The 26,554-nt window shown below is 44.5% G+C and overlaps 3 annotated features.

The window, feature by feature from the left end:
* Positions 6,291-6,809: an enhancer, noted in NCBI's record as "OCT4-NANOG hESC enhancer chr1:160931121-160931639 (GRCh37/hg19 assembly coordinates)". NCBI's record gives its function as "activates a minimal SCP1, AML or CMV promoter by ChIP-STARR-seq in primed H9 embryonic stem cells {active_cell/tissue: H9 hESC(primed)}" and the evidence as "EXISTENCE:reporter gene assay evidence [ECO:0000049][PMID:30033119]".
* Positions 23,459-23,753: a silencer, noted in NCBI's record as "tiled region #3396; HepG2 Repressive DNase matched - State 9:DNaseU, and K562 Repressive non-DNase unmatched - State 21:Repr". NCBI's record gives its function as "represses a minimal TATA promoter and a strong SV40 promoter by Sharpr-MPRA in HepG2 and K562 cells {active_cell/tissue: HepG2 | K562}" and the evidence as "EXISTENCE:reporter gene assay evidence [ECO:0000049][PMID:27701403]".
* Positions 23,525-23,725: a silencer, noted in NCBI's record as "peak434 fragment used in MPRA reporter construct". NCBI's record gives its function as "represses an SCP1 promoter by STARR-seq MPRAs in K562 erythroleukemia cells {active_cell/tissue: K562}" and the evidence as "EXISTENCE:reporter gene assay evidence [ECO:0000049][PMID:32103011]".

The following is a 26,554-nucleotide window of genomic DNA, read 5'->3' on the forward strand; positions in this document are numbered from 1 at the left end:
AGGGGCATCCTGCTTTGCCAAGGCAGGCCATACAATGTAGCAGTATCTAATCAGATTCGTGGATAGGTCACAATCCTCCCCTGCGTTCTCCCTCTCCCACCTCCCCCAGATGCCCTGGCCCCCTAGACACAACTCTGTCAAGAAATCATCCTTTTAGACTGAGGTGACACCTCATGAAAAATAAATTAATTAATTAAGAATAATAATTGGCCAGGCACAGTGGCTCACACCTATAATCATAGCGCTTTGGGAGGCCGAGGTGGGCGGATTACCTGAGGTCAGGAGTTCAAGACCAGCCAACATGGTGCAACCCTGTCTCTACTAAAAATACAAAAATTTAGCTGGGTGCAGTGGCGTGCACCCGTAATCCCAGCTACTCTGGAGGCTGAGACAGGAGAACTGCTTGAACCCAGGAGGTGGAGGTTGCAGTGAGCCAAGACTGCTCCACTGCACTCCAGCCTGGGCAACAGAGCAAGACTTCACCTCAAAATAATAATAATAATAATAATAATAAATAAATGGGAAAAGAAGACATCATCCTTCCAATCTTTCCTCCAATTTCTCTATGAGGCCTTCCCTGACACCCCCATCACCAGACAAAGCTGATGGATCCTTCCTTTGTCCCACTATACACTGTCCAAACACTAATTATTGCATGTATCCTGCTGTAATTTTATTGTTTTATTAACTCTGTTTAGAAACAATTTGAAATTTATTAAATGTTGCAAAAATAACAATAATATAAAGCCACATATATGCCCTTTACCTAGATTCAACTATTGTTAATATTTCACCCCATTTGCTTTATCTTTCGTGTTCTCTCTCTCTCTCTCTATATATATATAGATATATGTATATAAAATACACCCACACACACAAAATTTTTTTCTGAACCATTTGAAGGTAAGGTACATACATCATGGGCTTTTACCTTTAAATAAATGCGTATGGGTTTTTTTTATTTTGTTTTGTTTTTTGACACAGAGCCTCACTCTGTCACCCAGGTTGGAGTGCAATGGCATGGTCTCAGCTTACTGCAACCCCCGCCTCCCAGGTTCAAGTGATTCTCCTGTCTCAGCCTCCCGAGTAACTGGGATTACAGGCACCCACCACCACGCCCAGCTAATTTTTGTATTTTTAGTAGATACGGGGTTTTGCCATCTTGGCCAGGCTGGTCTTGAACTCGTGACCTCGTGATCCACCTGCCTCGGCCTCCCAAGTGCTGGGATTATAGGTGTAAGCCACCATGCCTGGCCAACTGTGTGTTTTCTAATAATAGGAATATGTCATGTATAACCACAGTACAATTATCAACATCATATTATTAAAAACTCTTTTTTTGGGCTGGGCGCGGTGGCTCACGCCTGTAATCCCAGCACTTTGGGAGGCCGAGGTGGGTGGATCATCTGAGGTCAAAAGATCGAGACCAGCCTGACCAACATGGAGAAACCCGGTCTCTACTAAAAATACAAAATTAGCCGGTCGTGGTGGTGCATGCCTGTAATCCCAGCTACTCAGGAGGCTGAGGCAGGAGAATCACCTGAATCCAGGAGGCGGAGGTTGCAGTGAGCCGAGATCACACCATTGCACTCCAGCCTGGGCAACAAGAGTGAAACTCCATCTCAAAAAAAACAAAAAACAAAAAAAACTCTTTTCTTTTCTGTAGAAACGGGGTCTCCCCATGTTACCCAGGCTACTCCAGAACTCCTGACCTTGATCCTCCTGCCTCAGCTTGCCCAAGTGCTAGGATTACGGGCGTGAACCACCGAGCCAGCCTGTTAACTCTTTTTAACATAACTGATACTTCCCTAGAGTATCATCAGCCCAGGGGTCATGGTGAGTTAGCATTAATGAGACAGGAATTTCTCTGGCTTTCATGCCCTCCCATTGTAAGGAGACTTCTGGTCCCCTTTTAAGTCCATAATCCCAAGGGGCATCTTGTGTGTGCTAACAAACATTTCTCCATTCCACACATACTCCCAGCCCACCCTGACTCCTTTCAGCACTGCCTACTGAAACCACAGTAGGCACACACCACAGCTGAACACCAACCGTATGATTTGGCATCCCTGCTGCCTCTGATGCTGGATCTGGTGTCGGGACAAGTTGCTGGTGTTTAAGGCACTGCTTCCTCTCACTCCCAGGCCTCCGGCACATCTCTTGCTATTCAAGGCATGGAAGTCATCCACCTCATAGGGTGCTGGAGAAGGGAAACGCCTCACTGCTCCCATGATGGGCACCAGACCAGGACATGTCTCCAGGTGTCTCAGTGACCTCAGTGACACTGTTCTTTCAGTGTCTCTTGCAGTCTGTCTCTCTCTTGGACTCAGACAGGAATCTAAGGAGACGAGGATAGAGGACAAACCTGGAAGATGTCATACTACTCTGATGGACCTTTGTCTCTGAATACTAAGATACTATTATTGGAAAGATTTTGTAAGCTCCTTCTCCTGAAACTTTTGAATTTTTTTATTTGAGTATTTATATAGGTATTTGCTTAATACCTGTCTCCTTCTTTATAGAGACAGAATCTATGTCTGTGGTTGTCCACCAGATGTCCAGGCCTATGCACAATGCCTGGCACACAGTGGGCCTTCAATATGCATTAGTTGAATGAAAGAAATTGACTCCAGGTGGTACTAAAAAACACACATGAACGCTTCCTCCAATCCAAAAAAATTTTAGGAATGAAAATGGCCAATGCAAAATTTTACAGTTTTCTCCCCTTTGTTGTAATTACTCTAAGCCATGTTTCCACCATCAAATACTCAATAAAAGTTAGAATGCATGCAACAGCTTGGTGTTTACCAATGCTTTGGAGGAAAAAAGGAAGAGATGTGGTGTCCTGTTTGGGAAAGAACAACAGGACAAAGGAAACCAGACAAAAACAATGGCATCCCCAAACAGATGGATGATAAGGAATAGATGAGAGCCCAGGAACTGGCTGAAATGCAGAAACACACAGGAGAAAAATAGGTCTCCTTGGCACTCTTCAGTTGAATTGGGTAATTTTCTACAGTAGATTTTTCCCGCAGTACCAGAACTACTGGGAATGGCAATGAAAACGTAGCTGGAAGAAAGGGGACCTGAGGCTTCCATTACATATTCATAAATGTTTATTATCCACTTAGTACCTTTCTTTGTAAATTCTGGATTTTTTTTTTAAGACAAAGTCTCACTCTGTTGCCCAAGCTGGAGTGCAGTGGCATGATCTTGGCTTACTGCTACCTCCACCTCCCGAGTTCAAACGATTCTCCTGCCTCAGCCTCCTGAGTAGCTAGGACTACAGGCACGCACCACCATGCCCAGCTAATTTTTGTATTTTTAGTAGAGACGGGGTTTCACTATGTTGGCCAGGCTGGTCTTGAACTCCTGACCTCATGATCCACCTGCCTCAGCCTCCCAAAGTGCTGGCATTACAGGCATGAGCCACCAAGCCCGGCCAATTCTGGATATTTTAAATTTCATTTTTAATACCTCTGGCATTAATTTTCATGTAAATCTGAGGTGAACATCTAAATTGATCTTTCTTCATCTTGCAAATTTTTTTTTCCCAACATTGTTTATGGATTGTTTTCCATCATAATTTTTTTTTTTTTTTGAGATGGAGTTTCGCTCTGGTTGCCCGGACTAGAGTGCAATGTAACGATCTCCGCTCACTGCAACCTCTGCTTCCCAGGTTCAAGCGATTCTCCTGCCTCAGCCTCCCAAGTAGCTGGGATTACAGGTATGTGCCACCACGCCTGGCTAATTTTGTATTTTTAGTAGAGACAGGGTTTCACTATTTTGGTCAGGCTGACCTCAAACTCCTGACCTCAGGTGACCCACCCACCTCAGCCTCCCAAAGTGCTGGGATTACAGGGATGAGCCACTCCACCCCGCCTTTCATCACAATTAGTGCCTTTAGTAGGCATTAAATGAGTTCTTACTTAGGGTCGATTCATCTATTTTTGTACGAGTACTATGTCGTTTAAATTATTACAGCTTAACAACATATTGTGATTCCAAGAAGGCTAATGCCTACATTTACACGTACATATAAAATAGTTGTTTATCAAATGCAAAACCTTATTAAGTGTTTCTTTGGGCCAGGCGCAGTGGCTCACAACTGTAATCCCAGCACTTTGAGAAGCTGAGGTAGGAGGATGACTTGAGCCCAGGAGTTCCAGAACAGCCTGGGCAGCATAGTGAAACCCTGTCTCTAAAAAAAAAAAAAATTAGCCAGGTGTGGAGATTTGCACCTGTAGGCCCAACTACTCAAGAGACTGAGGCAGGAAGATCACTTGAGCCCAGAAGGTTTAGGTGGCAGTGAGTAATGATTGTGCCACCAAACTCCAGCCTGGGCCACAGAAAAAAAAAAAAGTTTATTTTTTATTCTTCCTTGTATATTTATTTCAGACTAACTTTAAAAATCAAAGACCAGGCCAGGCGTGGTGGCTCACACCTGTAATCCCAGCACTTTGGGAGGCCAAGGTGAGTAGATTCACTTGAGTTCAGGAGTTCAAGACCAGCCTGGGCAATATGGCAAAACCCCATCTCTACAAAAAATATAAAAATTATCCAGGAGTGGTGGCACACGCCTGTAGTCCCAGCTACTCAGAGGCTGAAGCAGGAGAATTGCTTGAACCTGGGAGGCAGAGGTTGCAGTGAGCCAAGATTACACCACTGCACTCCAGCCTGAGTGACAGAGCAAGACTCCGTCCCAAAAAAAAAATTATAATAATAATAATAACCCTTTTTAATATATAGTTCAGAGCTAGTTATTTCCTTATATGTCTAATTTCCTCATTTGCTCATCTTGGACAAGCATCAGCAACCTTTTTTCTGTAAAGGACCAGATAACAAATACAATAGACTTTATGGCCACATAAGTCTTTGTTGCATATTCTTCTTTCTTTTTTGTTTGCTTGCTTGCTTATTTTTAACAATTTTTATGTGAAACCCTTCTTAGCTCACTGGCCATGCAAGACCAGGCCATGGTCTAGAGTTCGCCAACCCCTGATCTTGAAGACAAGCAAAGGGTATCAATGTTATTCTCTTCTGTTTTTCCACCCACCCACCTCCTCCTGGAATCTATCACAAGACCTGGTCTGCAGTAGAATCTTTGTATAAATTTGTTTAAAAAAATAAATCTGGCCAGGCATGGTGGCTCACGCCTATAATCCCATCCCTTTGGGAGGCCAAGGTGGGTGGATCACTTGAAGTCAGGAGTTGGAGACCAGCCTGGCCAAAATGATAAAACCCCATCTCTACTGAAAGTACAAAAATTAGCCAGGCATGATGGCTTGTGCTGGTAGTCCCAGCTACTCGGGAAGCTGAGACACAAGAATCACATGAACCTGGGAGGTGAGGTTGCAGTGAGTGAAAATCATGCTACTGCACTTCAGCCTGAGTGACAGAGGGAGACTGTCTCAAAAAAAAAAAAAAAAAAAACATGTGCACACACACACACACACACACACACACACACAAATTAGCCAGGCATGGTGGTGCATACCTGTAGTCCCAGCTCTTCAGGAGGCCAAGGCGGGAGAATCACTTGAGCCTGGGAGGTCAAGGCTGCAGTGAGCCGTGAGCATGCTACTGCACTCCAGCCTGGGCAACAGAGCAAAACCCTGTCTCAAAATAAATAAATAAAGAAAATAATCTGCCTCCTGAGACTAATTATTCCATTTGGGACTGCTTTTTGATTGTAAAAATAAATCTTATGTTCTTTTGTGCTAAATATCTCCTCCATTGGTGGTGTTTCAATTGTCTGGTAAGAGAAATGCAAAATTCCTAGGAAAAGCCCACACCTGCAGATGCAGGCCATTCCTGCTGGAAATCGTATCGTTGGAGAGGCTAGGAGATGGAGTAACCCATGAGTGCCTAAACTACAGGCACCTTGGTCTTTAGAGGCTGTGTTAGACCAGGAGAGAAAGAGTGAGGCAGGGTGTACAGAAGTTACCCTCACCTGGAACCTTCACAACCTTCACTACCACCTACTTACAATTCATCATCCCCACTCTGCCCAAGAGTCCTAGGGGGAAGGCTGTCCCTTCAAGAAGTCTGTGTTTCCTCATAGGTAAAATAGGGGTAGCAATTCAGGTCCACATTTCCTTGTCCAAAACTCTGCACCAGGTGAGTTTTAGAATTCAAAAAGTTAAAGATTTGCAAAAGAAACAGTTCATATATACCATATATACATACCATATATAGCTACCATATATGGCTAACATACCATATATACCATATATAGCTAACATCTCCAAGAGAATCTAACGCAACCCTTGTAATAGAATATGGTATAGCTTTTTTGGAATTTTAGAATTGTGGGTAAGGAATTGTGGACTTGTACTGACCTTATAGAACTGTTGCAAGGTTCAAATAACCATGCACTTTGTACACTATAAAACATTAAGAAAACATTAGATCATATTAATTTCTTTATCATTGTTGGGCTCACCTTCTGCTCCCTAAGGCCTGCTCCCCAGATACTGTGGCATCAAAGGGAAGCCCTCCTGAATATGCCTTTTGTGTCAAATGGCTGTGGGTTTGGGATGAAGGAAGGGTCAAATTACAGTAGGATCTGGGGAAAACACCGCTGGCCCAAAGTTTACTCTGCAAGTCACAAAATGCTCTGTTTCCAGGAATGATCAATTGTTCCCTAAGTTCTTGAGGTCAATGCCTTCCCATTACTGTAAATTATCATGGTGATGTCAGTCCAAATTTCTAAATATTTCCCTGGCAATAAAACAAATTTCTATAGTTTTTTTCTGCAATATAAAATACTTCTAGGTCAGGTAAGGTGGCTCACGTCTGTAATCCCAGCACTTTGGGAGGTCAAAGCGGGCAGATCACCTGGGGTCAGGAGTTCAAGACCAGCCTGGCCAACATGGTGAAACTCCATCTCTACTAAAAATACAAAAATTAGCTGGGCGTGGTGGTGGGCATCTGCAATCCCAGGTACTCAGGAGGCTGAGGCAGGAGAATCGCTTGAACCTGGGAGGCAGAGGTTTCAGTGAGCTGAGACGGCGCCATTGCACTTTAGCCTGGGCAGTAAGAGCAAAACTCCATCTAAAAAAAAACAACTTCTAAAAAGTAAAGTGATGGCCAGGATGGTGGCTCACACCTGTAATCCCAGCACTTTGGGAGGCTGAGGTAGGAGGGCTGCTTGAAGCCAGGAGCAGAACTTGAGACCAGCCTGGGAAACATAGTGGGACCCCATTTCTATAAAAAAAAAAATTAGCCAGGCATAGTGGTGCATGTCTGTGGTCCCAGCTACTTGGGAGGCTAAGGTGGGAGAACTGCTTGAGCCCAAGAGGTTTAGGCTACAGTGAACCAGTGCATTCCAGCCTGGACGACAGAGCAAGACTCTGTCTCAAAAACAACAACAACAAAAAAAAACACTAAGTGATAACAACTGCATGAAAAATAAGTAAAAATTATTACAGCAAGCAAAAAGGATTCAATGAAGTATATTTATTATTAAATGTGTTTCAATATCACCCCAATATTATTGATTTATTTATTTAGCTGTGATAAAACTGGGAAATCCTAATTGTTGTACTAAATTACAAAATGTGCCCTGAAAATTCAGGAAATGGAACCCATTCTATTTCTCCTGGAAAACAAATCACCATGAAATCTTATTCTACTTGTAATTTTTGTGCATTTCCACTGGTGGTTGAAATGGAAAGAGGAGCCTGAGAAAAAGATTTATACCTCCTTCTGGTCAATCGTATGAATTCAGACTGGTCTCTTTACTTCTCCAGGAGTTACTATTCTCACCTGTTAAGTAGAGATAAGGGGTTTGCTGAAAACCAAAGTGAGATGAGGAAACCTTTAAGGATAAGATAGGGAATGCAGGGATTTGACAGTGTGTTCTCAGTGTTATTCCAAAAATACTTATTACTCTTTTCTCTGTTTTTTGTTTGTTTGTTTTTGTTTGTTTGTTTGTTTATTTGTTTTTTGTCTTGCTCTGTCGCCCAGGCTGGAGTGCAGTGGTGTGATCTCGACTCACTGCAACCTCTGTCTCCTGGGCTCAAGCGATTCTCCTGCCTCAGCCTCCTGAGTAGCTGGGATTATAGGTGCCCACCACCATGCCCAGCTAATTTTTTGTATTTTTAGTAGAGGCGGGTTTTCTCCATGTTACCCAGGCTGGTCTCGAACTCCCCACTTCAAGTGATCCGCCCGCCTTGGCCTCCCACAGTGCTGGGATTACAGGTGTGAGCCACTGCGCCCGGCCTTCTTATCACTCTTACTCAAGCAACATCATAGTGCATTTGGGAGACACGTTTTCCATTTTTACTCCAAGTTGGAAGAAACTTTTCTCAGCCAAAGACCTTTAAAATTCATCGTATCCACAGAGCACAGTGAAGCCTGCAGCCTTCTGGCAAAGGAAATTGATCCAGCACCAGGGGAAGAATGATAGAGCTGAAACACCCATTCCTGGGCTCACAAGCAAAGGAAGGCCCAGATCCAAGAGAGTCCTCTGAGCACACACCCAAACAAGGATAAAGACCCAGAAATAAAGGCCCAGGAGTAAAAAGTGGACCAAGACAGTACGGCAGCATGATTAGGAAAGCAAACACTTACCATTCCCTTGGGGAAGCTCCATTTCCCCAGTCGTAAAGTGAAGATATTAAGGCCTCTCACGGGGTTATTATGAGCATAAAATGGAATGACATGTGTTAACACTTTAGAGCCTATAAAACACCGCACAAATACTAGATAACATTAAACTGCTTTGGAGTTGTGGAACATACCATCTGCTCCTTCATGTCTGCTCCCCAGATAATGTGGCATCAAAGGGAATCCTCAGCCAACCCAAACTCACCTGAATGAGCCTTGCTTTGTCAAATGGGCTGTAGTTTTGGGAGGAAGGAGAGGGAGGGAAAGGGCACAGGCGATAAGCTGGACCTGTGCAGGTGTCCTGCTGGCCTAGGTTCTCCTGCTCTCCTTTGAAGTTCAGAAAAGTCCTGTTTCCAGCAATCACTTATTGATCCTTGTGTTTGCTAATTAATGCCAGATCTTCAGCAAGACTGGGTTTGGTGTAAAAATAGTTCAGTATCTTGTTAGTAATAAACTGTTTTAATTAGCGAGGCATGGTGTGGGACACCTGTAATCCCAGCTACTCAGGAGGCTGAGGGAGGAGAATCGCTTGAACCCAGGAGGTGGAGGTTGCAGTAAGCCAAGATGGTGCCACTGCACTCCAGCCTCAGTCACAGAGCAAGACTCTGTCTCAAAAAAAAAAAAAAATTTTTTTTAATGTTTTGACTGTATCAGGAGCGGTGACTCACGCCTGTAATCCCAACACTTTGGAAGGCTGAGGCAGGTGGATCAAAAGGTCAGGAGTTCAAGACCAACCTCTCCAAGATGGTGAAACCCCATCTCTATTAAAAATAAAAAAAAATTAGACGGGCATGCTGACGTGCATCTGTAATCTCAGCTACTCGGGAGGCTGAGGCAGAGAATTGCTCGAACCTGGGAGGTGGAGGTTGCAGTGAGCCAAGATCGCGCCATTGCACTCCAGCCTGGGCGACAGAGCAAGACTCCATCTCAAAAGAAAAAAGGGCCGGACGCAGTAGCTCACACCTGTAATCCCAGCACTTTGGGAGGCCAAGGCAGGTGGATCACGAGGTCAGGAGTTTGAGACCAGCCTGGCCAATATGGTGAAACCCCATCTCTACTAAAAATACGAAAAAAATTAGCTGGGTGTGGTGATGAGCGCCTGTAGTCCCAGCTACTCGGGAGGCTGAGGCAGAAGAATCCTTGAACCCGGGAGGCAAAGGTTGCAGTGAGCCGAGATCGTGCCACTGCACTCCAGCCTGGGCAACAGAGGGAGACTCCATCTCAAACAGAAAAAAAAACAAAAATGTTTTGACTGCAGTTCAAAAATTGTTTCAAAACTTTGTTGCAATTTTAAAAATATTTCTCAAAATTAAAATGTTTGGAAGACTGCCCAAACAATATAAACAAATTCAATTGAAACATGCATTTAACTTTTATAAACTTATATTTATGACTCAACGACAAAAAAGCAAGCAACCCAATTAAAAATTTGGGCAAAGTAGGACTTACAGTATGATGTTGGGAAAAAAAACTGGACAAAGGACTTGGATAGACATTTCTTCAAAGAAGGTATACGAATGGGCAACAAGCACATGAAAAGATATTCAACACCACTCATCATTAGGGAAATGCAAATCAAAACTACAGTGAAAGGCCGGGCGCGGTGGCTCACGCCTGTAATCCCAGCACTTTGGGAGGCCGAGGTGGGCGGATCACGAGGTCAGGAGATCGAGACCATCCCGGCTAAAACGGTGAAACCCCGTCTCTACTAAAAATACAAAAAATTAGCCGGGCGTAGTGGCGGGCGCCTGTAGTCCCAGCTACTTGGGAGGCTGAGGCAGGAGAATGGCGTGAACCCGGGAGGCGGAGCTTGCAGTGAGCCGAGATCGCGCCACTGCACTCCAGCCTGGGCGACAGAGCGAGACTCCGTCTCAAAAAAAAAAAAAAAAAAAAAAAACTACAGTGAAATACCACTTCACACCCTTTAGTATGGTTATTACCACGGGGACCGAGGGAGGTGAACAGAAAACAAGAAATGTTGATATGAATGGGCCGGGCACGATGGCTCATGCCTGTAATCCCAACACTTTAGGAGGCCGAAGTGGGTGGATCACTTGAGGTCAGGAGTTCGAGACCAGCCTGGCCAATATGTTGAAACCCCGTCTCTACTAAAAACACACAAAAATGTGCTGGGTATGGTGGTGTGCACCTGTAATCTCAGCTACTCGGGAGTCTGAGGCAGAAGAATCGCTTGAACCCAGGAGGCAGAGGTTGCAGTGAGCCAAGATCACACCATTGCACTCCAGCCTGTGCGACAAGAGCAAAACTCCATCTCAAAAAAAAAAAAAAAAAAGAAATGTTGGTATGAAGGTAGAGAAATTGGAACCCTTATGAATTGCTGGTGGGAATGTAAAATGGTGCAACCTCTGCAGAAAACAATATGGCAGGTCCTCAAAAAAGTAAACAGAATTCAGCTGGGCACAATGGCCCATGCCCATAATTCCAGCTCTTTGGGAGGCCAATGCAAGAGACTCGTTTGAGGTCAGGAGTTGGAGTCCAGCCTGGGAAATGTAGTGGGATCCCTATTACTATTTTAAAACATTTTTTTAAGAAAAAAATTAGCCAGGTGTGGTGGCACATGCCTATAGTCCTAGCTACTCAGGAGCCTGAGGGTGGAAGGATCACCTGAGCCCAGGAGCTTTAGGTTACAGTGAGCTCTGATGGTGCCACTGCACTCCAGGTTGAGCAACAGAACAAGACCCTGTCCCAAAAACAAAAATAATAATAATAAACAGAATTACCACATCATCCAGCAATCCTACTTTTGGGTATATACTAAAAGAATTAAAAGCAAGGGCTTTCAATTTTACAGATATTTGTACACCCATGTTCATAGCAGCATTTTCCACAATAGCCAAAAAGTATAAACAACCCAAACGTTCAACAACAGATGAATGGATAACAAAACATGGTATTAGGAGTCTCTCTGAACATATTCTGGTTCTGGAGGCTGCTTGATTCACAAATTACAGAAAATAAATATAAATATAAATATGCTTTTTTAAAGAGATGGGGTTCCGCCATGTTGCCCAGGCCAGCCTCAAACTCCTGAGATCAAGCAATCTGCCAGCCTCAGGCTCCCAAAGTGCTGGGATTACAGGCGTATGCCAATATGCCCAACCAAAAATAATTTTTTTTAAATGTGGCATGTACAGCCAATGAAGGAAGGAAAGTCTGACAGATGGTACAACATGAATGAACCTTGAAGATTATGCTAAGTGAAATAAGTCAGAAACAAAAAGATAAATACTGAATGATTCCACTTATAGGAGGTACCTATAAAAATCAAATACACAAAGACAGAAAGTAGAACAGTGATTACCAGGGGCTGGAATTGGCAGGCAGGAATGGGGAGGCGTGGGGTTTTTCTTCAATTTCAACGGCTTTAGAGGTACAAGTGGTTTTTTATTACAGGGATGAATTGTACAGTGGTGAAGTCTGGGATTTTAATGTACCCATCACCTGAGTAGTGTACATTGTACCCAATAGGTGGTTTTTCATCCCTCACCCCCTCTCACTCTCTACACTTCTGAGTCTCCAATGTCCATTATACCCCTCTGTATGCTTTTGTGTACCCATGGCTTGGCTCCCACTCATAAGTGAGAACATGCACTATTTGGTTTTCGATTCCTGAGTTATTTCACTTACAATAATGGCATCTAGCCCCCTCCAAGTTGCTGCAAAAGACATTGTTTTATTCTATTTTATGGCTGAGTGGTATTCCACGGTGTATATGTATATATGTTATATACATATACCATATTTTCTTTTTTTTTCGCTTTTTGAAACAGAGTTTTGCTCTTGTCACCCAGGCTGGAGTGCAATGGCATGATCTTGGCTCACTGCAACCTCCACCTCCCAGATTCAAGCGATTCTCCTGCTTCAGCCTCCCGAGTAGCTGGGACTACAGGTGTCTGCCACCACGCCTGGCTAATTTTTGTATTTTTGGTAGAGATGGGATTTCACCATGTTGGTCAGGCTGGTCTCATACTCCTGATCTCAGGTGATCCACCCACCTCAGCCTCCCAAAGTGCTGGGATTACAGGCGTGAGCCACTGCGCCCGGCCCATATACCATATTTTCTTTATCCATTCATCAGTTGATGGGCACTTAGGTTAATTCCATGTCTTTGCAATTTTGAATTGTGCAATAAGCATACACGTGCAGATGTCTTTTTGATAGCATGACTTCTTTTCCTTTGGGTAGATACCTAGTAATGGGACTGTTGGAGAAATAGGAGGTTATTGATTAAAGGCTATAGTATGATTGGAAGTAAAATACACCCAGTTTTTCAAAAAATAGGTATAGTATGAGATGATGAAAAGCTCTGGAGATAAATAGTGGTAATTATTGCTCAACAATGTAAATGTACTCAATGCCATAGAACTCTATACTTTTTTTTTTTTTTTTTTTTTGAGACAGAGTCTCAGTCTGTCACCCAGGCTGGAGTGCACTGGTGTGATCTTGGCTCACTGCAACTTCTGCCTCCCAGATTCAAGCGACAGAACTCTACACTTAAGACACTTAAAACAGTGGCTCATGTCTGTAATCCCAGTACTTTGGGAGGCTGAGGCAGGTGGATCACTTGAAGCCAGGAGTTCAAGACCAGCCTGGCCAACATGGCAAGACCCTGTCTGTACTAAAATACAAAAATTAGCCAGGCGTGGTGGCGCATGCCTGCAATCCCAGCTACTTGGAAGGCTGAGGCACGAGAATCGCTTGAACCCAGGAGGCAGAGGTTGCACTGCACTGAGATCATGCCACTGCACTCCAGCCTGGGCAACAGAGTGAGACTCTACCAAAAAAAAAAAAAAAAAAAACAAAACCTCTACACTTAAATATGGCAATGATAATAAATTTTGTTATGTATTTTTTACCACAATAAAAAGTTCTTATTGAAAATAATTTATGTTTGGCTGGGCGCAGTGGCTCATGCCTGTAATCTCAGCACTTTGGGAAGCTGAGGCAGGCAGATCACCTGAGGTTAGGAGTTCGAGACCAGCCTGGCCAACATGGTGAAACCCTGTCTCTACTAAAAATACAAAAAAAACTAGCTGGGCATGGTGGTGGGTGCCTGTAATCCCAGCTACTTGGGAAGCTGAAGCAGGAGAATTGCTTGAACTCGGGCAGCAGAGGTTTCAGTGAGCTGAGATCACACCATTGCGCTCCAACCTGGGCAAAAAGAGTGAAACTCCGTTTCAAAAAATAAATAAATAAATAATGAAAATAATTTATGTTTATGATTATGTATTTTTTTAAACAGGGTCTTTCCTGTCACCCAGTCTGGAGTACAGTGGTGCGAATATGGTTCACTGCAGCTTCAACCTCCCAGGCTCAAGTGATCCTTCCACCTCAGTCTCAGCCTCCCAAGTAGCTAGGACTACAAGCATGCACCACCATACCTGGCTAATTTTTTTTTTTTCTGTAGACAGAGAACCTCACTGTGTTGCCTAGGCTAGAATTTTGCATTTCTGATGACCAGATGGTCCCACCTGGACTCATGACTCTTGACTCAACTGGTCCTATAGCCCCCACCCAGAAGCAGACTCAGTGCATGAACCATTTTCCACATGGCATCCCCAACCAATCAGCAGCACCCACCCATACCCTAGCCCCTGCCCACCAAACTACCTTTGAAAAACCCGCCAGGCGCGGTGGCTCACGCCTGTAATCCCAGCACTTTGGGAGGCTGAGGCGGGTGGATCATGAGGTCAGGAGATCGAGACCATCCTGGCTAACACGGTGAAACCCAGTCTCTACAAAAAATACAAAAAATTAGCCGGGCATGGTGGTGGGCGCCTGTAGTCCCAGCTACTCGGGAGGCTGAGGCAGGAGAATGGCATGAACCTGGGAGGCAGGGCCTGCAGTGAACCGAGATCGCGCCACTGCACTCCAGCCTGGGCGACAGAGGGAGACTCCATCTCAAAAAAAAAAAAAAAAAAGAAAGAAAGAAAAAGAAAAACCTTAGCCTCCAAATTTTGGGGGAGATTGATGTGAGTAATAACTCCATCTCCCATGTGGCATGGCCGGCTTTGTATCAATTAAACTCTTTCTTTACTGCAATGCTGTGGTCCCAGTGAATTGATTTTGTCTGTGCAGTGGACAGGATGAACCCACTGAATGATTATGTAGTCAGGAAATTTTCATCAAAGGTACAGGTGCTCCTCAACTTACCATGGGGCTCCATCCCAATAAAGCCATTGGAAGTTGAAAATATTGTAAGTCAGCTGGGCGCGGTGGCTCATGCCTGTAATCCCAGCACTTTGGGAGGCCAAGGTGAGTGGATCACCTGAGGTCGGGAGTTCGAGACCAGCCTGACTAACATGGAGAAACCCCATCTCTACTAAAAATGCAAAATTAGCCGGGCATGGTGGCACATGCCTGTAATCCCAGCTACTTGGGAGGTTGAGGCAGGAGAATCGCTTGAACCTGGGAGGTGGAGGTTGCGGTGAGCCAAGATCACACCATTGCACTCCAGCCTGGGCAAGAAGAGCGAAACTCCATCTCAAAAAAAAAAAAAAAAAAAAATTACGAGTCAAAGGAGTGTTTTAGACTTATGATATTTTCAACTTATAATGAGTTTATTTAAACAGAGCTCCACTGTAAGTCCAGGAATATTCTGAATTCATGTTGCTTTCAGAACATCATAAAGTCAAAAAATCATAGGTTGAACCACTGGAGACATCTGTAATATAAATCTATGTCAACCCACCATAGACAAAAATGGCACAATTAATTAGCTATGTAACTGAGCATTCTGGTGATAAAGTCAGGGTGTGATGGGATAAGTACAAGACTCAGATGAGATCATCAGGCCCCTCCATCTCCAGCTCTTCTTTTTGCGTATCTTGTCCATTCTTTACTTCTGCAGGCAGGCTGTCTCCAGGTGGCAGAGAAGATACACCTGGATGCACTCCTCACTCTATGAAAAGGGGCTTGGCCAGGGACACTAGAGCAGTGCCCTCTAAAGCACAGGACCCAAATCAGGTGCCCTTTTTGTCTGGGCCTAAGAATAGTACTACCACTGGCTGGGTGCAGTGTCTCACGCCTGTAATCCCAGCACTTTGGGAGGCCGAAGTGGGAGAATCACGAGGTCAGGAGATTGAGACCATCCTGGCTAACACGGTGAAACCCCGTCTCTACTAAAAATACAAAAAAAATTTAGCCTGGTGTGGTGGCGGGCTCCTGTAGTCCCAGCTACTCAGGAGGCTGAGGCAGGAGAAAGGCGTGAACCCAGGAGGCAGAGCTTGCAGTGAGCCGAGATTGCGCCACTGCACGCCAGCCTGGGCCACAGAGCAAGACCGTCTCAAAAAAAAAAAAAAAAAAAAGAATAGTACTGACCACCAGTTCAAGCTATGAGTTGGAAGGCTCAGGTTCAAATCCTGTTGGTTCTGCTTCCCACATATCACTTAAAGTCTTAAACCTTCCCCTCTTGGCTGGGCTCGGTGGCTCACGCCTGTAATCCCAGCACTTTGGGAGGGCGAGGTGGGCGGACCACTTGAGGTCAAGAGATAGAGACCATCCTGGCCAACATGGTGAAACCCCGTCTCTATTAAAAATATAAAAAATTAGCTGGGCATGGTGGCACATGCCTGTAGTCCCAGCTACTCAGGAGACTGAGACAGGAGAATCGCTTGAACCCGGGTGGTGGAGGTTGCAGTGAGCCAAGATCCCGCCACTGCACTCAGTTCACTGCAACCTCTGACTCCCTGGTTCAAGCGATTCTCTTGCCTCAGCCTCCTGAGTAGATGGGACTACAGGCACGCGCCACCACACCCAGGGAATTTTTGTATTTTTAGTAGAGACCCTGTGTCACCATGTTGGCCAGGATGGTCTCGATCCCCTGACCACGTGATCCAACCACTTCGGCTTCCCTCAGTGCTGGTATTACAGGCATGAGCCAGGGCACCTGGCCAAGTTGTGTTAAAATATAGGTTTTTATGATAATTTAGGTATGGAAAGATAAATAGATCAGGAGACAACTGCAGTTTGAAAGATAGAGTGTCATACTCACAGTTCCCAAGGGAAGGGGCCATGCCACGCAAATGGCAGGAGGCAGAGCTACATGGGAAACACCGGGGTGAGTCAGGAGGCAGTGAAAGCAAGGGGGGAAAGTGGGCTAGAGCCTTTATTGTGGTTTTCACAAGAAGAAAGGAATAGGCAAGGGAGGGTGAGCAAGTTTAGGCCTGGCTAGTTTGAATAATTTCATCAGGCTCTGGGGCACAGGGGCTGTCCCTCGTTGTCTGGTATCTGGCACTGGATGATTAGGGCAGATGCATAGCAACCCAGAATACGAGCCTCGCTGGAGGAGTTGGTTGCATGGGCTCTGGATTGGTCGTTTTGCATATGAAAGGCATGCTCACAGGCAAGTTGTTTGCTATCTCTAAGAATCAGCCAAACCTAGGAGAGATTGTCTGTCCAGGGTCAGCAAGGTTTAAGGTGAAGATGTCAAAGTATCAGAAAATAAAAGGAATGGCTAATACAGCCTCACCCCCATAGACTGAGGTAGACACACCCTAAATATATTTCCATCACCAGATTTATTAAACTCCATTGTAAGAATTGTTTTGTTGGTCTTTTCCTGTTGGACTTAATTCTGCTGGATAGGGATTTTGTCTCCTTCATCTTTGTGCTCTCAGTTCAGAGTACAGTGTCTAGCCCAGAGCTTCTGAGCTCATGTATCATAGCACCCTGGTATGGCATAAACAGGTTACAGGTGTCCCGGGAGATGCTGATGATTGTAAATTTTTTATAGTGATACAGAATCTAAAATTGTGTTTTCATAGGCATTTAGATTTTTACTCCAGTTAAAATTATATTTAAACATTATTTGTGTGGCTCTTTCTGTATACTTAAATTCAGTTCTTATTATCTTGGCAAAAGACTTTAGGCATAACACCCACCATCCGAGAGTGTTCTCTATGGGCTACACCAAAGAGCATGTGCCCTGGAAATACCAGGCAAAGAGTATCCTCCTGTGTGTCCCATGATGCAAAGGCTTGGGAGCTCTAGTCTAGCAGGATTCAAAAAAGGGATGTTAATTAAATCAAATAAGATTGCATAAATGAATTGATGAGTGTAATCAAAGTACTTGTTTTGCCTCTTACATACTGCAAAACACTAGCCTCTCTAACCCTTGACTTTCAAGCTACAAAGAGAGAATAATGCTTATCTTATAGGACTATGAAGATAAACAAGGAATGTTATAAGTGAAAATTTAGATAAAAAGCATTATGCAAATCTAATTATTACCACATTTGGCGTGAACCTACTGATAATTCTTCAACTTTGCCAGTCTGCCATAGATCCTGCTCTCATTAGCAAATTATTCTTCAAACTCTTTTCTACCTCAAATCCCTCTTCAAATTAAAAAAAACTTCGCGGCATCCCTTTGCCTACTCAGCCACAAGAACCTTCAACTACCTGGCTGCAACTTCCCTCTGTTCTCTGTGACAGGTCCTGGGGAGAATCCAGGGCCAACCTGGCAGGTACACCAACCACCAGGGGTGTAAAGTCCCAGGACCAAGCTGTATTAGGCAAAAGTTCACCCAGAGAAGTCGGAAGCAACAGTATAAAGGGGCAACAGATGAGGCAAGGAGCCAAACTGTAGAGCTGTAGGAGCATCAATGTCAGGGTTAGAGGCAAAGTAAGGACATAAGTCATGTGTTTTCATCAAGATGGGCTCTGTGCAGCCGGGCACGATGGCTCACACCTGTTATCCTAGCACTTTGGGAGGCCGGGGCAAGTGGATCACCTGATGTCGGGAGTTCGAGACCAGCCTGACCAATATAGAGAAACCCGTCTCATCTAAAAATACAAAATTAGCTGGGCATGGTGGCGCATGCCTGTAATCCCAGCTACTCAGGAGGCTGAGGCAGGAGAAGCGCTTGAACCCAGGAGGCAGAGGTTGTGGTGAGGCAAGATTGCGCCATTGCACTCCAGCCTGGGCAACAAGAGTGAAACTCAGTCTCAAAAAAAAAAAATGGGCTCTGTGATGCTGCCCTAGCCAACAACTTCAAAACTCCAGTAGCTTAACATAACAGAGGTTTATTGGTTGCTTATGCAAACTCTGCTGCCCGTCTGAGTGACTCCCAGGGTAACTATCTCCCATGGAGCAGCTCAGTAACTTTACCATCAAACCTTTTTGATTTCAGAAGGAGATAATAGATCTGGAAGATTGTGCAGGCCTTTTTTTTTTTTTTTTTTTTTTTTGCTTCAGCTTGGAAATGAAATATGTCGCTTTTGCTCACAGCCCCTTGTCCAAAACTAGTGAAAGTCCCTGCCTAATTGCAGGAGGAAAGGTAAATGTGGATGTAGTAGACAGAATCCAAAGATGTCACCCACAATCTCTCCCCTCCCTATACACACATAACACTCCTCCCTCGCATCGAGAAGAATCCTGGCCAGTGCCCTAGCTCACGTCTGTAATCCCAACACTTTTGGAGGCTGAGGTGAAAGAATTGATTGAGGACAGGAGTTCAAGACCAACCTGAGCAACATAGTGAGACCCTGACTCTACAAAAAATAAAAATAAACATTAACTGGGCATGGTGGTGCATGCCGGTAGTTCCAGGTACTCAAGAAGCTAAGGCAGGAGGATTGCTTGAGCCCAGGTGGTTGAGGCTGTAGCCTGAGTGACAGAGTGAGACCTTCTCTTTAAAAAAAAAAAAAAAAAAAAAATTAAAGAAATGGAGTCCATGCTGGGTGTGGTGGTTCACGCCTGTAATCCCAGAACTTTGGGAGTCCGAGGCAGGTGGATCCCCTGAGGTCAGGAGTTTGAGACCAGCCTGGCCAACATGGCAAAATCCTGTCTCTATTAAAAATACAAAAATTAGCCAGGCCTGGTGACAGGCGCCTGTAATCCCAGCTATTTGGGAGGCTGGGGCAGGAGAATCGCTTGAACCCAGGAGGTGGAGGTTGCAGCGAGCTGAGATCCTGCCATTGCAATCCAGCCTGGGCAACAAGAGTGAGACTCCATCTCAAAAAGGAAAAGAAGTGGAGTCCTTTTCCCTCTCCCTAAATATGGGCTGACATTGTGATCTTCTTTGACCAATAGAATGTCATGGCAATAATGAAGGTGCAGTTTAGCCCATAAGAAGTGGTACCTTCTGTTTGGCTCTCTTGGAACCCAGCCTCCATGTTGTAAGGAAGTCCAAGGTATATTGCTGAAAAAAGAGGGGCCATGTAATGAGGCCCTGGAGGATGAGACACCGTATGGACAGAGGCATGTGGTGGAGAGCTGAGGAACCCCCGCCCAGTTTCCAGCTGAATGCAGCCACATGAGTGACCCCAGCTGAGAATGTGTGTTAGTCAATATACAGAATCTGGAGAAATAACACACATGTCCATCAACCGATGAACAGATACATAAAATACGGCAAATCTATATAATTATTATTTGGAAATTAAGCACTGATACATGCTACAAAACAGACTAAACACTCATGTGAAAGTCCAGAATAGACAAATAGACAAATCATAGAGACAGAAAGTAAGAAGATTAGTAGTTGCCTAGGACTATGGTGGAGAGAAGAGAAATGGAGCGTGACAGCTAATGGGGAGGTGGTTTCTGTTTAGGGTGATGAAAATGTTCTAAAATTGATTGTGGTAATGGTCACACAACTCTGTAAATACACTTAAAAGCATTCAATTGTAACTTACAATGGGTGCTTTATATGGTATGGGAATTATATCCCAATAGTATTTTTTTTTAATCAAGGTAAACAATATACCCTCAGAACTCTTAGAAAAAATTATCCTAAACTTGGAAAAAAGGCAAAGGGATAAATGAATGTTGTTTCAATGTCGTACAGAAGTGTGGTCCCAGAGACGCCCACGGATTATGGAATTCTCTAGTTCTACACTGTCTGATTCTGTAGTCACAAGCCACTTGTGATTATTGAGCACGTGAAATGTGGATAAGGCACCAAATATTTTATTTTAAGAACCAATACTCTGTTCAGTTATTGGAAAAGTTTTAAGTATGTTTTTACTTTTATTTGGAACAACTTTTTCAACTGTAAATTTTATGAAACCTAAATGTAGATCAATTATTGAAGCAGTCCCGTTCGTCTGGGGTAATACCCGAGGATTGTTGCCTCATGCCAAGGAGATCAAGGACACGGACACGTGTGGAGTGAGCTTAAGAGTAGAGGTTTAATAGGCGGAAGAAAGAGAAAAGAGAATGGGTCTTGGGGCGCCTGGCTGGGTCTTCTGGTTTCCTGGAGAAATGCACAGGTTTTACAGACGAGCTTGAGGAGGAGGGCCCAAAGATTGGTTGGACCAGGTGTGATGTTTACATAGCCCCGGAAGAGCTGGCCAAGCCATCCTAATCTTTTTTTTGGAGACGGAGTTTCCCTCTTGCTGCCCAGGCTGGAGTGCAATGGCGCAATCTCAGCTCACTGCAACCTCTGCCTCCAGAGTTCAAGCAATTCTCCTGCCTCATCCTCCCGAGTAGCTAGGATTACAGGCTTGCGCCACAACACCCAGCTAATTTTGTATTTTTAGTAGAGACTGGGTTTCTCCATGTTGGTCAGGCTGGTCTCGAACTCCTGACCTCAGGTGATCCGCCCGCCTCAGCCTCCCAAAGTGCTGGGATTACAGGCGTGAGCCACCGCGCCCAGCCTCACCCTAACATTTTTATTATGCAAATGGATTTTCTACCTGGCCGGTGCCATGTTGTCTGCTCCTTATCGTACACGTTGTTGACAAGAAAAGGGAAGATGGAGCCTCCATGTTGAACAAGCCTGGCCCCCAGGTAGCCTTTTCCTATTGGCACAGCTGCCAACATTCACCCGTGCAAGCTTCCAGCTTGCTTATCTGTGTCTGCAGCTCGATTTTACAGGCGGCTCTTTGTTCGTAAAGAAATGATTTAGAGGCTGCTTTTAATTAAAAGGAACCCTTATCCAGGACTTCCTTACCCTCACTATCGGCCTGAATAATTTCTTTTCAACTCCTATATCACTATTTCTGATGGAAGTTTAGGATACAAATTTAGATGAGCTGTGAGTGTTAAATATACACTGGATTTTGAAGACTTAGAAAAAAAGGAATGCTGTGATATAAACTTAATATGTTTATATGTATATTTAAGTATATATATATATATACATATATATATACACATATATATATATACATATATATATACACATATATATATACATATATATATATATATATATATATATACATATATATATATTTTTTTTTTTTTGAGACACGGTCTCGCTCTGTCACTCGGGCTACAGTGCAGCTCTGTCTCAGCTCACTGCAGCCTGGACCTCCCAGGCTCAAGCAATCCTCCTACCTCAGCCTCCAAAGTAACTGGGATTACAGGCACTTACCACCACGCCTGGCTAATTTTTGTATTTTTAGTAGAGACGGCGTTTCAGCATGTCGCCCAGGCTAGTCTCAAACTCCTGACCTCAATCGATGCACCCACCTCAGCCTCCCAAAGTGCTGGGATTACAGGCATGAGCCACCACGCCCAGCCTTAAGGTATATATTTTTTATTTGCTATTTACTATTAATTATGGCCTACACTCTGAAATTGCATATTAACTTGTAAATTTTAACCTAATAGAAATACAAATAGTTGGGGCGAGTGCGGTGGCTCACACCTGTAACCCCAGCACTTTGGGAGGCCAAGGCAGGCAGATCGCTTCAGGTCCAGAGTTTGAGACCAGCCTGGGCAACATAGTGAAACTCATCTCTAATAAAAAATATATTAAAAAATAGTTAGGCATGGCAGTGTGTACCTGTGGTTCCAGCTACTCGAGAGGCTGAGGTAGAAGAATCACTTCAGCCTGGGAGCAGAGGTTGCAGAGAGCTGAGATCACACCACTGCACTCTAGCCTGGTGACAGGGCGACTCCATCTGAAAAAAAAAAAAAAAAAAAGGCTGGGCGCGGTGGCTCATGCCTGTAATCCCTGCACTTTGGGAGGCTGAGGTGGGCGGATCACCGAGGTCAGGAGCTCAAGACCAGCCTGGCCAACATGGTGAAACCTCGTCTCTACTAAAAATACAAAACTTAGCCAAGCATGGTGGCAGGCACCTGTAATCCCAGCTACTCAGGAGGGTGAGACAGGAGAATAGCTTGAATCCAGGAGGCGGGGGTTGCAGTGAGCCGAGATCGCACCATTGCACTCCAGCCTGGGGGACAAGAGGAAGACTTTGTCTCAAAAAAAAAAAAAAAGTGTAAGTTTCCCCTTAAGTAAGAGAAATTTACATTTGAAAAGAAAATTTCCAGCCAGCTGTGGTGGCTCAAGCCTGTAATCCCAGCACTTTGGGAGGCCAAGGCAGGAGGATCGCTTAAGGCCAGGAGTTCAAGACTAGACCCTGGGCAAGAAAAGAAATGTCCATTAATAAAAGTATCTGTATCAGGAAGAGAGCTAATCTGACACAACTTTAATCACCTGAGAGACTTCTATCTGCATAATCAAGCAACTTTTACTCACCATACATTTCCTCTCCTCACCCTCCTATAATTTGCCTCCACCACCCTATAGAAGCCCCAAGCCCGTATATCTTTCTGTAGCTCAGGATGGCATGTAAACCTCAATCATCTGGCTACTTTGAATCTCTTTTTATTTTATTTTATTTTTTTTGAGAAGGAGCCTTGCTCTGTTGCCCAGGCTGGAGTACAGTGGCAAGATCTTGGCTCACTGCAACCTCCACCTCCCAGGTTGAAGCAATTCTCCTGCCTCAGCCTCCAGAGTAGCTGGGGACTACAGGCATGTGCTGCCATGCTCAGCTAATTTTTTTCTATTATTTTTAGTAGAGATGGGGTTTCCCCATATTGGCCAGGCTGATCTCGAACTCCTGACCTCAAGTGATCCACCCGCCTCAGCCTCCCAAAGTGCTGGGATTACACAGGTGTGAGCCGCCGCGCCTGGCCTTTCATATTTTTGTCAGACTCCCACTTATATATATGTAACTAAGAGAGAAGATTATTTTTCCTCCCCTACGATTGTTTTTTTAGGCTGGGTGCCATGGCTCACAGGCGTATTTGTTCACGCCTGTAATCTCGGCACTTTGGGAGGCTGAGGAGGAGGGAGGATCGCTTCATCTCAGAAGTTCAAGGCCAGTCTGGGCAACATGCCAAAACTCCATCTCTACAAAAATACAAAACTTAGCCAGGCATCGTGGCACATACCTGTAGTCCCAGCTCCCTGGGAGGCTGAGGTGGGAGGATCACTTGAGCCCCGGGGGGTGAGGCTGCAGTGAGCCGAGATCCCACCACTGCACTCCAGCCTGGGCAAAGAGAGAGATGCTGTCTCGAAAAAAAAATAAATAAATAAGATTGTTTTTCTTCTGTTAATCTTATATTAGTTTAATTCTTAGACCAGCTACAGAATCTAGAGGGGTGAAGAAGGCATTTTTCCTTCCCTACACTTAGTTGACATTTCAGCATGCCATTTCTGACTATATAAACCTCTATTCTCAGGAGGAGATGAAAATCTCATGGAGGAGATGAAAATATGCCACCCCAAAATATGACTGTAGGACACCTGAGTATGCCACCCAAAACATGCCTTTTGGGCATAAGGATTATTTTGAGCTGATTATTTTGAGAACTGCAAACATAGAAGTTACCCTTTTGTATGTGAAATCTATATCTCAATAAAGGAAATCTTCCTTTGTAAGAATGATTCCTAAAGCAGAACTACTACATGACTCTCAACTGCATGAGACCAACCTAGTAGAAATGTGAGCTGCAGATTTTGACTTGGAAAAAAAGAACTTTAGGCCAGACAGTGGCTCATGCCTATGATTTCAGCACTTTGGGAGGCCAAGGTGGGAGGATTGCTTGAGCCGAAAAATTCCAGACCAGCCTAGGCAACATAGCTAGCGAGACTCCATCTCTACAAAAAACTAAAAAATTAGCCAGCTGTGGTAGCATGTGCCTGTACTACCAGCTACTCAGGAGGATGAGGTGGGAGGATCATCTGAGCCCTGAAGGTGCAGCAAGCCATGATTGCACCACTGAACTGCAGCCTGGGTAACAAAGCAAGATCCTGTCTCTCAAAAAAAAAAGAACTTTATAGTCCTTGAGAAAAGTACGACCCCAGGCTGGGTGTGTTGGCTCACGCCTATAATCCCAAAACTTTGGGAGGATGAGGCGGGTGAATTGCTTGAGCCCAGGAGTTCAAGACCAGCCTGGCCAACATGGTAAAACCCCGTCTCTACTAAAAATACCAAAAAAAAAAAAAAAAAAATTAGCCAGGCTTGGTGGTGGTCACCTGTAGTCCCAGCTACTCAGGAGGCTGAGGCAGGAGAATTGCTTGAACCCAGGAGGCTGAGGTTGCAGTGAGCTGAGATCGCACTGCTGCACTCCAGCGTGGGCAACAGAGCGAGACTCCGTCTCAAAAAAATAAATAAAAGAAAAAAGAAAAGAAAATTATGAGACCCAGTAGGTTCTGACTCCAAGACAAGATTCAGAAATCCAAAGGGGCACGAGACTGTCGGTAAAGTAAGACTGAGTTATGAGTAAAACTGTCAAGTATTAATGGAAATATGGAGTAATGCTTAGATTATATTTCCTATACAAATTAAAAGCATACTCAACCAGACTGGGCGCCATGGCTCAGGCCTATAATCCCAGCACTTTGGGAGGCCAAGACAGGCAGATCACCTGAGGTCAGGAGTTCAAGATCAGCCTGGCCAACATAGTGAAAACCATCTCTACTAAAAATACAAAAATTAGCCTGGCGTGGTGGCCCATGCCTGTAATCCCAGCTATTTGGGAGGCTGAGGCAGGAGAATTGCTTGAACCCAGGAGTCAGGGGTTGCAGTAAGCGGAGATGGGGCCACTGCACTCTCGCCTGGGAGACAGGGCAAAATTATGTCTCTAAATCAATTAATTAATTAAAATAAATAAAAGCATACTCAGCCAGGCAGTGGGATTACTCCTGTAATCCCAGCATTTTGGGAGGCTGAGGCAGGATTGTTTGAGCCCAGGAATTTGAGACTGGCCTGGACAACATAGTGAGACCCTGTCTCTATTTTTTTGAGAAATTAAAAAAAAAAATTAAAAGTCTATTCAATAGGCATCATCCTTAAGTACAGCTGTATCAGTTCGTAACACAACCACAGACTGAGTGGCTTAAATAACAGAAATTTATTGTCTCACAGTTCTGGGGGCTAGAAATCCAAGATCAAGGTGTCAGCATGTTTGGTTTCTTCTGAGGCCTCTCTCCTTGGCCTGCAGATGGCCATCCTCTTGCTATTCCTCATGCAGTCGACCCTTGGTCTGTATTAGTGTCTTAATCTCTTATAAGAACACCAGTCACATTGGATTCGAGCCCACCCTAATGACCTCATTTAACCTTAATAACCTCTTTAAAGGCCCCATGTCCAAATACAGTCACACTCTCAAAGGTACTGAAGGTTAGAACTTGAACCTAAGGGTTTGAGGGGACAAAATTCAGCCCAAAACACCAGTGTTAGTGATAATATTTGTTACAATTTTTGACATTAAAGTGTAAAAGTCTCCTGGAGGGATCCTATTGGGAAAATCATGTTCCAAATAAGCACAAAATAATTAGAGGGAAAAAGCCCTCTTTACACTGCCTCCCAAAAGACATTGAAAGGGGATAAATCCTTAATCTCAGTAATACTTTTTTTTATTTTTCTTATTTTTTTGAGACGGAGTCTCACATTGTCGCCCAGGCTGGAGTGCAGTGGCCGATCTCGGCTCACTGCAAACTCCGCCTCCCAGGTTCACGCCATTCTCCTGCCTCAGCCGCCCGCCACCTTGCCCGGTTAATTTTTTTGTATTTTTAGTAGAGACGGGGTTTCACTGTGGTAGCCAGGATGGTCTCGATCCCCTGACCTCGTGATCCCCCCGCCTCGGCCTCCCAAAGTGCTAGGATTACAGGCGTGAGCCACCGCGCCCAGCCAGTAATACTTTTTATAATCCCCTTTCTCTTCTCCCTCA

The sequence above is a fragment of the Homo sapiens genome, chromosome 1 (genome assembly GCF_000001405.40).
Source record: "Homo sapiens chromosome 1, GRCh38.p14 Primary Assembly".
Lineage (NCBI taxonomy): Eukaryota > Metazoa > Chordata > Mammalia > Primates > Hominidae > Homo > Homo sapiens.